Source organism: Homo sapiens, chromosome 7, assembly GCF_000001405.40.
Source record: "Homo sapiens chromosome 7, GRCh38.p14 Primary Assembly".
In the NCBI taxonomy this organism is placed as follows: domain Eukaryota; kingdom Metazoa; phylum Chordata; class Mammalia; order Primates; family Hominidae; genus Homo; species Homo sapiens.
The window spans coordinates 157,662,763-157,678,121 of NC_000007.14; the positions used below are offsets into that span (position 1 = coordinate 157,662,763).

The 15,359-nt window shown below is 54.0% G+C and overlaps 1 protein-coding gene across 10 annotated transcripts in view, besides 4 other annotated features; it reads right to left on the reverse strand.

The window, feature by feature from the left end:
• Positions 1-15,359, reverse strand: part of PTPRN2 (protein tyrosine phosphatase receptor type N2) — a 1,048,768-nt gene that overhangs the window by 123,707 nt on the left and 909,702 nt on the right. The gene's annotated exons all lie outside the window — the stretch shown is intronic.
• Positions 6,069-6,962: an enhancer, noted in NCBI's record as "H3K4me1 hESC enhancer chr7:157461523-157462416 (GRCh37/hg19 assembly coordinates)". NCBI's record gives its function as "activates a minimal SCP1, AML or CMV promoter by ChIP-STARR-seq in naive H9 embryonic stem cells {active_cell/tissue: H9 hESC(naive)}" and the evidence as "EXISTENCE:reporter gene assay evidence [ECO:0000049][PMID:30033119]".
• Positions 6,963-7,855: an enhancer, noted in NCBI's record as "H3K4me1 hESC enhancer chr7:157462417-157463309 (GRCh37/hg19 assembly coordinates)". NCBI's record gives its function as "activates a minimal SCP1, AML or CMV promoter by ChIP-STARR-seq in naive H9 embryonic stem cells {active_cell/tissue: H9 hESC(naive)}" and the evidence as "EXISTENCE:reporter gene assay evidence [ECO:0000049][PMID:30033119]".
• Positions 13,139-13,924: an enhancer, noted in NCBI's record as "H3K4me1 hESC enhancer chr7:157468593-157469378 (GRCh37/hg19 assembly coordinates)". NCBI's record gives its function as "activates a minimal SCP1, AML or CMV promoter by ChIP-STARR-seq in primed H9 embryonic stem cells {active_cell/tissue: H9 hESC(primed)}" and the evidence as "EXISTENCE:reporter gene assay evidence [ECO:0000049][PMID:30033119]".
• Positions 13,925-14,708: an enhancer, noted in NCBI's record as "H3K4me1 hESC enhancer chr7:157469379-157470162 (GRCh37/hg19 assembly coordinates)". NCBI's record gives its function as "activates a minimal SCP1, AML or CMV promoter by ChIP-STARR-seq in primed H9 embryonic stem cells {active_cell/tissue: H9 hESC(primed)}" and the evidence as "EXISTENCE:reporter gene assay evidence [ECO:0000049][PMID:30033119]".

Sequence of the window (15,359 nt, forward strand, 5' to 3'; positions counted from 1 at the left end):
TCCATGCCGCGACTGCTTTCGGAATGTGCTTTTCCAGGGCGAGCCTTCTTTTTGGACATGGGATGTACCCGATGTCTACAAGCTTGAAGTAACATTGCCGACCGTGTGCTTCTTGTGCATGCAGGGTCTGAAGGGAAGGCCTTGCATCCACCGCCCACCTAACCTCACGGCTCAGCCACGTTCACGCAGCACGGTTCAGTCAGAAGTTCACACCTCATTCAACCCAGCTGTTGCTAAGTCAGTGTGGCTGTCATGGGACCAACTGAAGAGTGTCCTGCCTCACGCCGTATCTCAGGACATCCACAAAGCATTGCTTTTGCCACATTCTGCTTGGCCGCGAAGCCACTTTCTGCAGCCCGAGCTCCACCCCCGGCCATAACCCAGGCTGGGAAGAAGTTCCCCGGGCATCGGCGACTCCCTGCAGGTACGGCAGGGGTGGCAAGGGGCGAACAGCGCACCAGGCCCGCGAGGAGGTCACTGAGCAAGGGCTGTGCGCGTGGAAACCGTGATGACATCACACTGACAAGTTAAACCCTGGAGTCCCAGCGGCACTGGCTGTCGGCCGTCCTGCACGTGCCCCTGGGAAGACGTGGCTGCAGGCCCAACTCCTGGTGTCTCCCTTGGCGATAAACACAAGAAAGCCACATCTATCTACTGGAGACAGAAACAGAAATTCCTCACAAGTGAGCTGGAAATGCGCCAGTCTGCTGCGCTCACGGGGAACGGGGTCGGGCCAGCTCCCTCCAAGGACGGGGGCTGGGACGTTTGGCCGCTGCCTCTCCCACTCACTGTGGCCTGCCCCTGCCAGCGTCCCTTCCCCTTGCTGTGTGGCCCCTTTCTGGGCCACCTGCCAGAGCTCCTCACAGTGGGGACCGGCCCCTCCCTCTCCACCCTTCCCTGGACACTCTTGGGAATCTCCAGACGTGGGGGAAGCCAGGAAGGAGCCTGGATTCTGCCTCATGGCTTGCTGGAGAAAGCACTGAGGGGCATCTCATGTGGTCTCATTCACTGGTCCTTTAGGCTGATTATAGTTTCCAAATTCATAATGGAAATTCTATAGTCTGTCCATTCTCAGTCCTTTACCTTAACATTTAAAAATTTTGTAAGGAAAAACACACTTCTTACTAGAATGGAATAAGAAATGTAGAACGCTACTTGACTTAGTAATGGTTTAGCCAGTGCCAACGAGACAAACCTCACAGCATTTGAAATCGCTCTAGGTTATAATTTGGGACATTTCCACCCTGCATGAGGTGACTCTAACCCTCTAAGCAAGGCTGCCAGTGTGGGCTCACTGGAGATGCCACTGGGAGCTGTTTTTCCCCTCCCAAGACTAGAAAGTGACTGGCTACAGCGGGGGAGGGGGCCACACTCCTCACTCTTCATTGAAAAGTAGCATCCACACCTGAAAAGGCAGTCGCATCCACGGTGCTGAACGGAGGCGTGAGCTTGCTGACCGCTGAGGCGATGACTGAATGGACAGCGTGGCACACATACTTCTTTAAAACCTCAGTTGAAGGTTACAGCATCAGCTGCCATCACACCAGAACTGCCATCAGACGAGAGCAGCCGCTGCCCGTATCACCTGCGTTCATTATCAGACTTCTGTGGGGGCCCAGGGCACAGAGCGGGGGCTCCTGTCAGCCAGTGACAGAAATGGCCATCGCCACTACGAATACTCTAAGTACCATTCTGTGTGGTGAGTTTAAAATACAGAACGGTAGTCGGGCGTGGTGGCTCACGCCTGTAATCCCAGCACTTTGGGAAGTAGGTGGGAGGATCCCTTGAGCCCAGGAGTTTGAGACCAGCCTGGGCAACATAGTGAGACCCCATCTCCAAAAAAATAATTAGCTAGGTGTGGTGGCGTGCACCTGTACTCCCAGCTACTTGAGAGGCCGAGGTGGGAGGATCACTTGAGCCCAGGAGGATGAGGCTGCAGTGAGCTATGATTGCACCAATGCACTCCAACCCTGGTGACAGAGCAAGACCCTGTCCGCCTACACCCGCCAAAAATACAGAGCTATGATCTCGAGAGCATTTTATTTGAGCAAAAGATAATTTATAAAGCAAAATCAACAACATGAGCCTCCTCTGAGAGAAAGCTGGAGGCCAGCCCCATCATGTTTTGAAATTTCCCTGATTTATAATCCTCGGTAAACACAAAGGGTGCATCCTCACCCGGAACAAAACTCTCCTGGTCAGACGGTGAACACCCCAGAGTGAGGCCTGTGGGCCACACGAGCCTGCTGAAGGGGTTAACCGGCAGTGGTGCCAAGCAGGAAGCCCCGAGACCTGCCCCTCCACAGCGCCTGCTTGCAGGGGCCCAAGGGCCTCCCCTGCACAGCCTGGCCTGGGGGCACTGACACATTTTTGGCAAACAGATCTTGGCCGGACAGAAGGTCCAATCCTTCCAGCCACTTCACTTAAAGGAAAATCTTCTATTTAAGATCCAGACTCAGCCTAACAATCACGAAGATGGCTCTGTTTATGATCCGCGACTATGCACCTTCAGCCACAGCGGCCCAGTGTGTGCAGCTTGGCGACCTTGAGTTTGTAAGGATGAGTAAGACCTTGTGGCATTTGCGTGACTCAATAACCAACAGGTAATTAAATATGAATGAAGAAGAAAGGTAGATGTAACCACATAACTCTTTTGATTGTAGATTTAGCTGCGATGTCGGCGGCACTTGCGAATTCCCTCCCCACTCTGAGGAGCTGGACGGAGGCTCCATCCCACTGAGGGCTGGGCATGGGCCTGCCTGGCCCTGAAGGCACCCACGGGGCCACTCCCACCAGGGTGTGGATGAAACCTGTTTTCTTTTCTCTTCCCAATTCATACTCTTTAGCAGCGAAGAAAAAACAATATATATGTGAACTAAGAAAAGGACTATAAATCATGCTACCATAAGGACACATGCACACATATGTTTATTGTGGCACTATTCACAATAGTAAAGACTTGGAACCAACCCAAATGTCCATCAATGATAGACTGGATTAAGAAAATGTGGCACATATACACCATGGAATACTATGCAGCCATAAAAAAGGATGAGTTCATGTTCTTTGCAGGGACATGGATGAAGCTGGAAACCATCATTCTCAGCAAAATATCACAAAGACAGAAAATCAAACACCACATGTTCTCACTCATCGGTGGGAAGTGAACAATGAGAACACTTGGACACAAGGCGGGGACCATCACACACCACAGCCTGTCAGGGGCTGGGGGCCAGGGGGAGGGGTAGCATTAGGAGAAATACCTAATGTAAATGACGAGTTGGTGGGTGCAGCAATCCAACATGGCACATGTATACATATGTAACAAACCTGCACGTTGTGCACATGTACCCTAGAACTTAAAGTATAATTAAAAAAAAAAAAAGAAAAAAAATTCCAGGTACAAAGGGGAAGTCATTTATTTTTGTGCCATGCTGCCTTGCATTTTTGGAATGCCTGTCCCTGGAGATGGAGCTCACATCTTTCCGGAAAGCTCTGAAGGTCCCTGCGTCTCAGTATAGCTGCTCTGTAGCTTTTTAGCTGTCTGGCCCCTCTTAGGTGTTGAGAAAGTTATTAAGAAAATTATTAAGGATAGCATGTCAAATTCCCAGTGAGAAGGACGCATTTGCAATAATGGAAAAAGGGCACGGTTTTGCAGGTCATCTCCATAGTAAAATATCAATGATTATAATGTGCCTCTATTCTTGAGAAGAAAGTATTCCAGAGCCATTAGTGTGTTAGAAAAAAAAAAAACCCCACAGTAGAAAATGAAATCCATTATTGGCAAAAAAAGCAAGCCAAGACAGAGCTGAGATCTGCACGGTGTGGCCGTGTAAGGCAGAGGCTGAGGACCAGGACTCTGGGTCCAGATCACCCGGGGCTGTGTGCCACTGGACAGGCTGCCAAAAGCTGCGTGTGTGTTTTTAATCTGTGAAATGGGGATGAAGGCAGAGCAGCTCCACAGAGTTGTTGGGAGGACTCTGAGGGTGGATGTGTGTGGAGCACAGAGTACAAGGCCTGGCTTGCAGACTCGGCCCGTGTGACACTGATCTCAGGTGGGTGCAACAAGTACACAGCCTGACTTGCACACTTGGCCCATGCGGCACTGATCTCAGGTGGGTGTGATGAGTACGAGCCCTGGCTTGCACACTCAGCCTGTGGGACACTGATCTCTGGTGGGTGCAATGAGTACACAGCCTGGCTTGCACGCTCAGCCTGTGGGACACTGATCTCTGGTGTGTGCAATGAGTACACAGCCTGACTTGCACACTCGGCCCGTGGGACACTGATCTCAGGTGGGTGCAACGAGTACACAGCCTGGCTTGCACGCTCAGCCTGTGGGACACTGATCTCTGGTGGGTGCAATGAGTACACAGCCTGGCTTGCACGCTCAGCCTGTGGGACACTGATCTCTGGTGTGTGCAATGAGTACACAGCCTGGCTTGCACGCTCAGCCTGTGGGACACTGATCTCTGGTGTGTGCAATGAGTACACAGCCTGGCTTGCACACTCGGCCCGTGGGACACTGATCTCAGGTGGGTGCAACGAGTACACAGCCTGGCTTGCACACTCGGCCCGTGGGACACTGATCTCAGGTGGGTGCAACGAGTACACAGCCTGACTTGCACACTCGGCCCGTGGGACACTGATCTTACACGGGTGTGGGCATCCCCCTGCCAGTGCCCGCATCTACATTTGGGCACAGAGAAGCCACACAGCCTCACGGGAGCTGGGGGCCTCTGGCAGGGCCTCCTTCCAGGACACAATACCAAGGAGGCCAGACCCCCAGGGCTGTCCGCACTGGATGACCCTCTGGCCACTCTGTCCTGCTGATGAGACCCTCTCCCTGCCTCCTCCCTCTCAGTAAAACTAGAGTAACTAGGCATTTTTAAAGAAGATGGTGGCGTCTTCCACTGTTGCCCTAAATGGAAATGCTCCACCGCAAAACTCAATGTGATGCTAGTGCCTCACGACCTAACACCCTCCCCACGGGGCAGCGTTTGTCAGGAACGGTAAACCCAGCGCGTCCGCACCCAGGCGCAGAAACTCTCCATCAGGGAAATGTGAAAAATTGATCTTTTTGCAGCTCGGTGCTGCCTCCAACACATCCAGAGCCAACTGGAACTGTGAGTGTGAGCCCAGTGGCACTGCAAGCGCCCACACCAGCACCCTGCCCTGGGCAGAGTCACGTGGGACCATCCCCGCAGGACAGTGCTGCACCCAGAGCCCCCACCCTGAAAGCTTCCCGTGCTCTGAGCAGCTCCTCAGGTGTGAGCACACAAACAGAGGAGGCCATGGTCAGCACGGCACATTCGGACACCACAGTCCTCGCTCGCCGTAGAGCCGCCTGCTCCTCTGCTGTGCCCAGGCCGGGGCCCTGGGCGTGTCCGCAGAGTCCTCAAAGTATCTTATACTTCTCTATAACACAATGTGCAAAATAAGCTGAAGAGGATTCTGGGGGCAGAAATTCATCCATACACATCACAAGGCAAATGTCTCATCTCTTAACTCAGCATCTGATGGAGAAAATTACAGAGTGGAAATCACTCAGAGAAGAGACCTGTCATTCTTGAATTCTGCCAAAAGAAGACCAGGACAACAAAGGTTTCAGGAAAACCTCTCTGCACGCTTCCGGGAGCCAACTGAATGAAGCCGTGTTGCCCGAGTGTGCGCACAGAGAGCCTTGGGTTTTTAGGGTTATTTCGAGAGTGTAATCACTAGTAACAGGACAACACTAAGGAATTAAACGTACAAAGCTGGGCAGGAAAAAGTGGGTTCACTGGGCTCTGCTGGGGAGGAATAAAGGCCACTCTCCAGACTGGACGTGGCACCAAGAGAACGTGGTGAACGGGAACCGGCTCTGTTTGGGGAGGGCCCTGGCCTTCAGCTCAGAGGGCAACACACAGCAGAAGCCGCGGGGCCCGGTGCAACCACAGGTGGCTCGAATGTAAAACGGTTAAGGAAAAAGCCTGCGCTCTGTCAGTTTGACACTGAGGCTGCAGGGCACGTGACGACAGGAAATCTAAACAGGAAGGTGAAATGTTGAGAAAGCGTGTGCAGGGAAAAGGCCGGGGAAAAATATTCCAGGTTGTTAAACGGGGTCATGTGTCATAGTGGGGAAAAAAAGAAAAAAAGGTTTCTTGTATAATCACCTCTCCCCGATCATGACACAGTTTTACTTGATTTTATTTCATCATAAAACTCAGAGGGACTCAGAAGGAACCGCCTCACATGCTAGGCCAGCAAGGCCAGCTGGGAGCAGAGGAGCAGTAACCAATGATTTCGTTGAGGAGAGCGACTTTACACAAACACTCCACCATGCTAGGTCTCTGATCGGCACCGCTACAAGGTGCTCCGGGGTCTGGGTGCATCTGGGGCAGCCCTGTGAGACCTCAGGGAACACAGGGCCACGCTCACTTCTGGAGAGCAAATGGCCCACGGCCGCCCCTGAATGCCAGGGGAGCCTCCCTTCTTCTGCCACGGAGTCAGGGCCCCGGCAGCCGAGCCTGTCCGTGATCTAAGCCGGGGACGTCCTCGGCTCATGGCCCACGTGGCCAACGCTGCTCTGGTGACACAGTCCCACCGCCTCCAGTGGCTTCTCCTTGGTGTCCAGGTAACTTTTACACTTGGACCAAGAACAACCCACACACGTGTTTGCACGCGCACACACACACACACCCAGGGGAGGATGCCCCTGACAGCAGCGCCCAAGCCAGGGCCACAGAGCTCTGCAGGCCCCTCCCCGCTCCTGACACACGACGACACCCAGTCAGGGGCTGTAAGCACAGCTCCTGCAGGAAGGGGTTCCACGCACGGGCAAACAAGCCGAGTCAGCCCACGATGAGCGATGTTGGCCAAGCAATATGGAGTGAGTTCTTCCCATTTCGCAAGATGTTTTCTCAAAACAAAAATTAAAGATATAGACATGTTTCATGTAAGTGAAAAATAATTTTCAACACTCTTCTAAATGTGGAACAGTCTTGGAACAGCCTAAGATCAGTAGGAAAAAAGCGGCCTCTCCGCTCGCTCAGCCCCCATCCCTGCGGCGCCCAGAGCACCAGCCCTTTCTCGAGTCCCCACACAACCTCGAGGCCGGGCTCCGGGCATCCAGGCGTGTGCTGTTTCCTAGTTATTTTCACGTCCATACCCCTGCCTCCCACACTCAAGAGCAGAAGTCCTTCTGTCTGCTTTCTGTACCCACAGCATCTACGTGGTGCAGAGGGGCCCTCGCTGAGCCCCTGCACACTGGTCAGCATCCCTGGCCTCCAGATCACGGCTCGCTCAGGGACCGAGTGTCCCACACCAAGGCAGCCCTGGGGGAGCAGCAAGGGGCACGGCTGGAGCAGCTGCATCGAGCCCCCGCCGGCCGACAGCTGCGGCTTCCTGCTCTGGGGAGGTGAGGGCTGTGTTTGAATCTCCTGAAGCCCCTGGTGGGTGGCTGGGAAACGCAGGTGCTCCACGTGAAGCACAGAAGGCACGTACGGGCTCACGGGACCCGCGGTCAGCTGCATCCGAGAGTGACCGACGTGCTGAAACCCGACCTCCTGCCTCCCTTTTTCTTAGGGACTGCCTCTCCCCTAAGACTAAAGACATTCATTTTCTTCATTTGCTCTGCTCCTGATAACATCAGATTGAAACCAGGAAACAGTTGTGAAAATAAAGACATTGGAAGGAAACACAGAATTTTAATGAGCATCTTCTCTCTGGAACAGCCCATGTCTAAGACCGGCTTCTGTGATGGTCTTTAATGCTTCCATAAAGGTGGCATCTTAGATGTGAGAGGGAGCACCTTTAACCCACGATGCCTGCAACCCTTCCCGTTGTCATGGGAGACCCCAGTCACACCGCAGCAAAGCCCCTCCAGCCAGACTGCCGTTGGTGAGACAAATCCCTCCCTTCCCGGCTCCCACGGAGGATGACTCACCGGGCAATTAAGTTCTAAGGGCTTCCAAAAAAGTCAGTGGTGCCTTCAAAGTTCACAGATCCAACACGACCTCTGTGAGCAAAGCCAGCCTTGAGAGGCCCCACAGGCTGAACCTTGCTTTTCAGTTTCATAGTCAGACAATTTAAAATAGCCAGTCAGTAAGAAACAAGTCATCCGCCTTCAGAGCAGCCCAGGCCTGACGTGGAAGTAGAGAACGGGCAGCTGTTTTTTTTACAAGAAACTTTTGCACCTTCCTAATTTTCTTTTTGCTCAGAATAAGGGCTGATTTTCATGTGCCATCCCTGTCATCACCCGCATCTTCAGCCTGCAGCGCGTAGGGAGGACTCCCCATGGGCGGGCAGGACTCTGGACCTGAGAATTGCACAGGATGGTTTCCAAGAGGGTTTACATGCTCCCCCGCCCCCCGTCCCCTGCCCACAGACCTGCTCTTACCACATCAAGATCTTAGTTCAATGTATCGATTCATTCTTATCGAGCATGTAAAGGTCCCCGGTGGGTGCTGTGGGTCTATTGGACAGACCTGGCCTTTGGGAAGCCAAGGCTGTCCCCACACGGGCTGGTCTGGTGTGGGCAACAAGGCCCGCTCTGCACCCAGGCCTGCCTCCATCCAACACAATGAGGAAGTCACCCTACACTGGAGGGATGGTGACGAGACGTCACCGCAGAGGCGGCAGAAGGGATAAAGGGGAGGTAGGGATGAATAGGGCCCTGGTGTTCGGGATGGGACGGGCCACCCCGGGCTGAGATGGAAGCTCAGGGGACGGGGGTCTGCACAGGGCTGGACAGATGGGAGGGTCTGCAGGGATAAAGTGGGAGGGGGGGCGGTGCAACGGAGGGAGCCGGGCAAACAAAGGCTCAGAAGCAGAGGAGCCCAGCCCAGGGACACAAAAGGTATTCACATCCTTCCATTCGGTGGCCACCACAGCTTAATTAAGCCAAAGGAAGGGCAGGGGCATGCGGGCTGGGGGCGGAGCGGCTACTGGAGCAGCTGCTTCTCCATTTTCGGAACTGCACGTCGTTCTGGGGCCCAATTATTCTACCTAAAACTGATCTGAGTGACACCTGAACTGCACAAGGCCTGAAGGACGCCCTGAAGAGCTTCTTCCTACCAGACCCCCGAAGGCCAGGGTCTGGGGGCCTGCTGGGAATCCCGGTCTCAGAGGTCTCAGCTCTGACCGAAGGGTGCTGAGCCCTAAGGTCTGTACGGGGAGTTTCTAAAAGTCTACGCTGTACCCCAAGAAGGGGACGGGTGGGGCAGCAGCCCTGGAGGAAAACCCGTGAGCGAGTCGTGGAGGGAGTGTGAGGGTTTTTGGGGAGTGAACTTTGCAGAGGGTGCTGGGAGCAGCCGGCCCGAGGACACCGCTGACTGGGGTACAGGGGCCACGGGTCGCACGTGGGGTGTCAGCTCTGCCGCCTCACTTGGGGTTGATTTGAAATCTCAAGATGTGTCTGAAAACCCCCCCTGGAGAAGCGAGGGGCCCACTGGGAACGGGAAGGCCTGAGCAAGACAGACGCATGCCCGGGGCGAGGAAGGGGAGCCTGGAAATCCACCCTCAGAAGAATCAGACACGTTTTCTAGACTTTCCCCTTCACATTTCAGCTTCACGTTTGGGGCTCACTTAACAATTTGTATATTTGTTCTCCTTGAATCTGGTAGAGAATAAGAAATCCCTGGGATGGGGACAGAAATAATTCTGAAACTCACACACCAGCTCCAGTTTCCATCCAATTTAGTATTTTGTTTTGCAAAAAAAATCTGCATTGTATTTCCTCCCACTCAGGAACATCCGATCTCTGGTTTCAGGGTGCGTTTTACAGGCCAGGAAAGGTGATTCCAGGTCGGGAAAGGCCATTCCAGGAAGATTGCGTTATTGTCCACTCTCCTGCATCATCGTCTTCACCAAAAAAGCTGAAAGCGACGAAACGCCTACCCAGAGGGCAAATCCAGCTTCCGCTCTCCTCAGAGGTACTCAGTCCAGTTATACATCAATGTGAGAATAGTCCCAGCACTTATCACTTGTAAACTCTTTTAATTGATTAGCTATTAAATGGCATAAGATCAATCCAAGTTTAAACCTGTATATCAAATCCACATTCCACAAACTCTGTAGTGAATTATGTATTTTAAAACATGTAGCTTTACTGGCTAATGTAATCGTCTGCGAATCTTCCCATCTGTTCTTCAAGTCACTGTACCTGGAGGCGCACACTAGCACAGACCCAGACACTCAATTCTGGGGCTGCATTATTATCCTGTACATTAAAAAATCTTGAAAGGGTGCTTGTTCACACCTGCCACCTTTCTAGTGAGTCTCTTGTACTTGCTAATAGAGAAATAACATACCCAGGTTCCATCCTTTTTTTTTGAGATGAAGTTTTGATTTCGGCTCACCGCAACGTCTGCCTCCCAGGTTCAAGCAATTTTCCTGCCTCAGCCTCCCGAGTAGCTGGGATGACACGTGCACGCCACCACACCTGGCTAATTTTTGTATTTTTAATAGAGACGGGGTTTCGCCATGTTGGCCAGGCTGGTCTCAAATTCCTGACCTCAGGTGATCTGCCTGCCTCGGCCTCCCAAAGTGCTGGGATTACAGGTGAGCCCCTGTGCCAGTCCCAAGATTTCATTCTTAACCATCAGTAATTCTCCCAAAGCAGAAAAGCCACGGAGACGTTACATTTTGAGCAACAAAGTTTCAGAACAGCTGGCTGGATGAAGAAGGGAGCACTATTCTGCAGCCCCCATGGAACAGGAAAAGCCGCTGTTCAGACACCTGCAGAAATGCCTGACTCTGCCCACCTCACGTCCACATAAACCTGAAAAAATGGGAGAGGAGTAGCTAGCTGTCTGCCCCTGGAAGCCCCTCCATTTCCCTTGTGCATCCTGGCCCCTCTCTCTCTGAGCTCAGGCCCTTCCATGCTCCTCTCCCGCCCCACAGAGGCCCCCTCTGTCCTGGCCCCTCTCTCTCTGAGCTCAGGCCCTTCCATGCTCCTCTCCCGCCCCACAGAGGCCCCCTCTGCCGTTGCCTTTTTCTTCCTCTCCCACGTTCTGTTCTCACGTACTCTGAACCCCACGCGGCACCCAGGGCTCCCCGCGTTCTCTGAGCCCCATGCCCGCCCCACCCGGCACCCAGGGCTCCCCTAGGGTCACAGTGTTGTCTGTTTCCGGGTTCACACTGGGGAGTCCTTCACAAAGGCAGACTGGGCCGACTCTGATGTAAGATCAAGTTCTCTGCTGTCCCCGTTGTTCCAGAATATGGGATTCTACCCTTAGAAGCGATAAGCTTTCTGAGAAAACGCCTTCTGGGTCAGCTCCAAGTTCAGCTATCCCGAGGTTCCAAGGCTGTCTGCCCACCCAGACCCAAGGTGTCCAATCCTTAGGGGTGACCCTCGGGCCAACACCAATCACAGCTCTGGGGACCCCCACGTGTCAGCCATGGCAAAATGAACCCCCAACACAGCAGGGGAGGGAAGGAGGAGGCGGGGCTCACAGAGCAGAGAGCCATGGAGAGCTCCGGGCCGAAGGGGACTTGGGCCTGGGAGAGAAGAGACAGCCAGGCGGCGAGGGACTTGTCCTGTGGAGGCCTCCCCAGGAGGCGAGGGTGGGGGGACTCCTGCTGGAGGCGGCCGGCAGATCAGCCTTCCTTATCCACGTCCTCGAAGTGATCCCCGTTTGACATTTGGAAATGACTTTCATCTGCTGGGTCCTCCTCGGTTTGACGTGCAATTGCTTTTCCCGAAGCTTTCTCCTCTTGTAACACCCAGCTCCTGCATGCCGTGGCGGCTCCAGCCATCATTCCTCATCCCACCACCCCGCGCAGCGTCTTGCCTCCTTTTATGCCGGTGTACGTGTTGTGTTAAGAGCTGGGCTTTGCCATTTTTGACAGGCTAATGCATTTCACCACAGATAATGCCATTCACCACAGAGGCGCATTCTCTCTCGTGCCCATCAAGGCAGAGGCTGAGAAGAAGGTCTGCTTTACAGCAACGGCCTGAGGACCCTCGGCCCCAAGGTGAGGCCCCGCGCAGGTACCTCTGTACACGCCTGTGGAGTCCCACCCTGTCGTGTGCACGAGGCTGTCACCTGGAGATTCCGGCCCTGCCGGGCGTCTCCTCCCACGCCGAGCTCCTCCTGCCGGGGGGGTCTGCACAGTTCTGGGTGGGGGAGGCTCCAGGAGCTACCCGAGGCTTCTTCTCCTTGCCAACAACGATGCCCTCCTCCCGAGGGACGGTGGCCCCAAGGGGAGCCGGGAGAGCAGAGGCTACAGGCAGGGAGTGGGGAGACCCAGCCTTCAAGCACAGCGCCCCTTGGGTGGGACTTGCCTCTTGCTCACACCCACTCCTACCTCCTGGTACCCGCCTGCTGGAATCTCCTCCCCACCGCCTACTGTTTCTTTTGAAATCCCAGTTTAATCCACTTTTTTACACTTCCCTTTACTCCCTCAAGTGTCTCCTCCCAACACCCACTTTATTTCACAGCGGCTCGCGTCCTTCGGAGAGCCTGCCTCCCGCCATGGGCAGCAGGGTTCCCGCTGAGCTGGGCCCACCTGACCAGGGCTTCCCTCCTGCCGAGCCCTCACCTCGATGTGAGCCCTGAAGCCCCTTGGGCTGGGAGGTGAGGTGTTCAGAGCACAGATGCCCGAGGCTGCACCTGCACCAAGACCTGACCTTACCCCCCAGGGCCCCGGACCACACAGGGGCTCACCCGGGTGTTGGCTCACCCGGGCGCCTTCTCCGAACACCTTCCATCAAGTGTCTTGAATTCTGCAGAGCAGCCCAGGTTTCAGGGCTTTGCTTCTGTTTTCTTCTCTGGAAGTGCATGCTTTGCAGACACCAATGTCCTCAGTTTTAGTTCAGAAAATGTGTCCCGCCTCTCTAATCAGGTCTAAGGGAGGGGAGCAGCTCATGCCGAGGAGGAAGTGTGCGGAAACGGGTACCCTGGAAACGGGAGGAGCAGGCAGGAATCCAACACCCATCCCAGCCCCGCGGGCACTGACAGTCGCTGCAGACCGGGCAAGTCACCCTCGGGCAGCGCTTCAGAGCTGACGTGGCACCCGCACCCACAGGGCTGCCCTCATCCGCATGGCGGCCCAAGAGGAGGCCCCAGTTCATAGATGAGGAAGGCGGCCTTCGGGAGGGAGGGGCTGGGCCTCGCACCCCAGGGAATGGAAGGGCAATGGCACCTTTCTTCCATGAATTTCACCATTGGAGAAAAAGTTAAAAGATGAAAAGTGTGGCAAGAGGGGAATAAGATAAGAAGGAAGAAACGGAGGGGGGTGAAAGCAGGCAGAATGTGCCTCTTCTGATCCTCTTGGGGTCACTCAGCCACACCGAGCCATGGACCGTCCCTTGGAGCGCCACAGACTGCAGGGTTTGTCCTTGTCACGAACTCAAAGAGCTGACCTCTCTGGGCCGGCACACAACTTGCAGCCGAGTCCTTTCCACGACACCCCAGCTCCCTGTCTAAACTCTTGGCCTGACTGGGAGGACCTCTTCCCTCTAGCCCAGTTCCTCCTGGCAGCCCTGCAAATGCCCACCCTCTTGGGTCTGTCCCTACCCTGCAGATGGCTCCAGCACCTGCCCCAGCCACGCCTCCATCTCCCGCCAGCCGCCAAGAGCTCCACCCACCACCTGGCCCAGCCCCTCCTCTGTCATCTCCAAGGATTTGATTTCAGTTTCACACGAATCACCTCCTAGTGATGCGTGGACTAATGCTGTTTACCGCCGGTTCACTTTCATTGCAAACTCCTCATCTCCAAGAAATCATCAACCGAGAAAAGAAAGGATGTCACCTTTTCCCAAATCTCCCACAGTGCCTCACACTACGAGGGAAGATGGTGGAGGAGCTGTCCAGACCCACGGGACAGAAAAGCCCGGGCCAGCCCCTCAACACCCTGCAGTGGGGACAGCGCAGCTGGGGACCGCCCAGTGCAGCTCTGCCACTGGCCCTGTGGGCTGGGGCGCCTCTCAGTTTATCTGCTGCTGACTTTGCCCCCTTGTAAAACAGGGTTGGGAGATAATGAGATGCCTGGGGAAGGTGTCCTGGGTCCCTTTCCACAGGGTCCCTTTCCACGGGGTGGGTGACTGATGAGGACAGGGGGTGCCTAGGAACAGGGGCTCGGAAGGACCTGCTGTGCATGCAGGGGTCACCCCAGGAGCGACCCTGGCTTTGACGAGAAGGAAGTGTTCTCTGGTTCTGGCAGAGAAATGTGTGAGGCGGACTGGTACACAACACAAGCCTAAGGGAAGCAGCACCCGCTCCACAGACACCACGCACACCGCCCCTCCCCTGGTGCTGTGTGAGCACCCATCCTCCTCCCGGGGCCCAGCCCTCTTCCTTGGCTGCTGGAGTGCAGGGTGAGCACGTCTGGAAGAAGCCTGCAGCCCCCACCTCCTTTCCTGCGCCCCTCCTTGTGTGTAGCAGGAAGTGGCTTCCTTAGGAAGCAGTTATTCGAGTCATACCCAGGTGTGAAAAGCTACCAAGGTCAAGGCAAACATAGGAATGGCCTAGTGCCAAAATGAAGCCACAGAATTCAGCCCTCCACATTTTATGTCTCAGACTTTCCAATTTTTTTTTTATTTCCAAATATCTCACTGCGTGGTCTCTGTGATTTTAATTAAGTCTGATCTAATGACTACTGTCTGATGGGGGGAGTGGCTTGCTGTACCCCAACGAGCAGCATGCTTCTGTTTTATGTTTAGAGGTTTCTCTGGCCACCTTTCGAGACTTCATTGTTCTCTGAAGATCGAGCTCTATCTCTCAGGAGCTGTATCTGAGGAAGCATTTTGGGCAAAACGGCAGGATGTACACTGCTTTTGGAAACTGCATCTGTGAACACTTCAGATTTATGAGAAAAATGCACTTCAAAGGGGCACTTTCCAGAAAAACGTTCAGACTCATGGTGAAAAGGTATCTAGAAGATTCCATGGAGCCTGCAGAAACCAAGCCGGCTGACCCCACATACTGATGATCTATACTGAACACACAGGCAAACAAAAACAGGTTCTTCCCACACTGGGGACGACACGTACCCTTTACCCTCATCATCCTGGCTAAATTCTGCAGGTTTCCTTCCGATTTCCTTCACATCAGAAACCATGGGATTTGGCACCAGCGTGACAACCATTTAGCATTTGCTGATTCCTAGTTAGTCCAGGGAAGTTCTGTGCCGCCATGGAGTATGGGAGGAGGGAGGCACGGCCTTGCCCTCCCGGGGCCTGGAGTCTGTTCCCGGACAATCTGCAAAACCGAATCCACGTCTCGAAAGTTTCAAGAGAATTCTACTGTAGACATCTGTACTATCAGCTACATTTGGAAAGGATTATAAAATTAGAAAAATTTCCATTTTCAGGCTTGACTTTACAATAAAATGTTCTCTAATCATAATTATTTCATAACAAATGATCTTTAATGTTG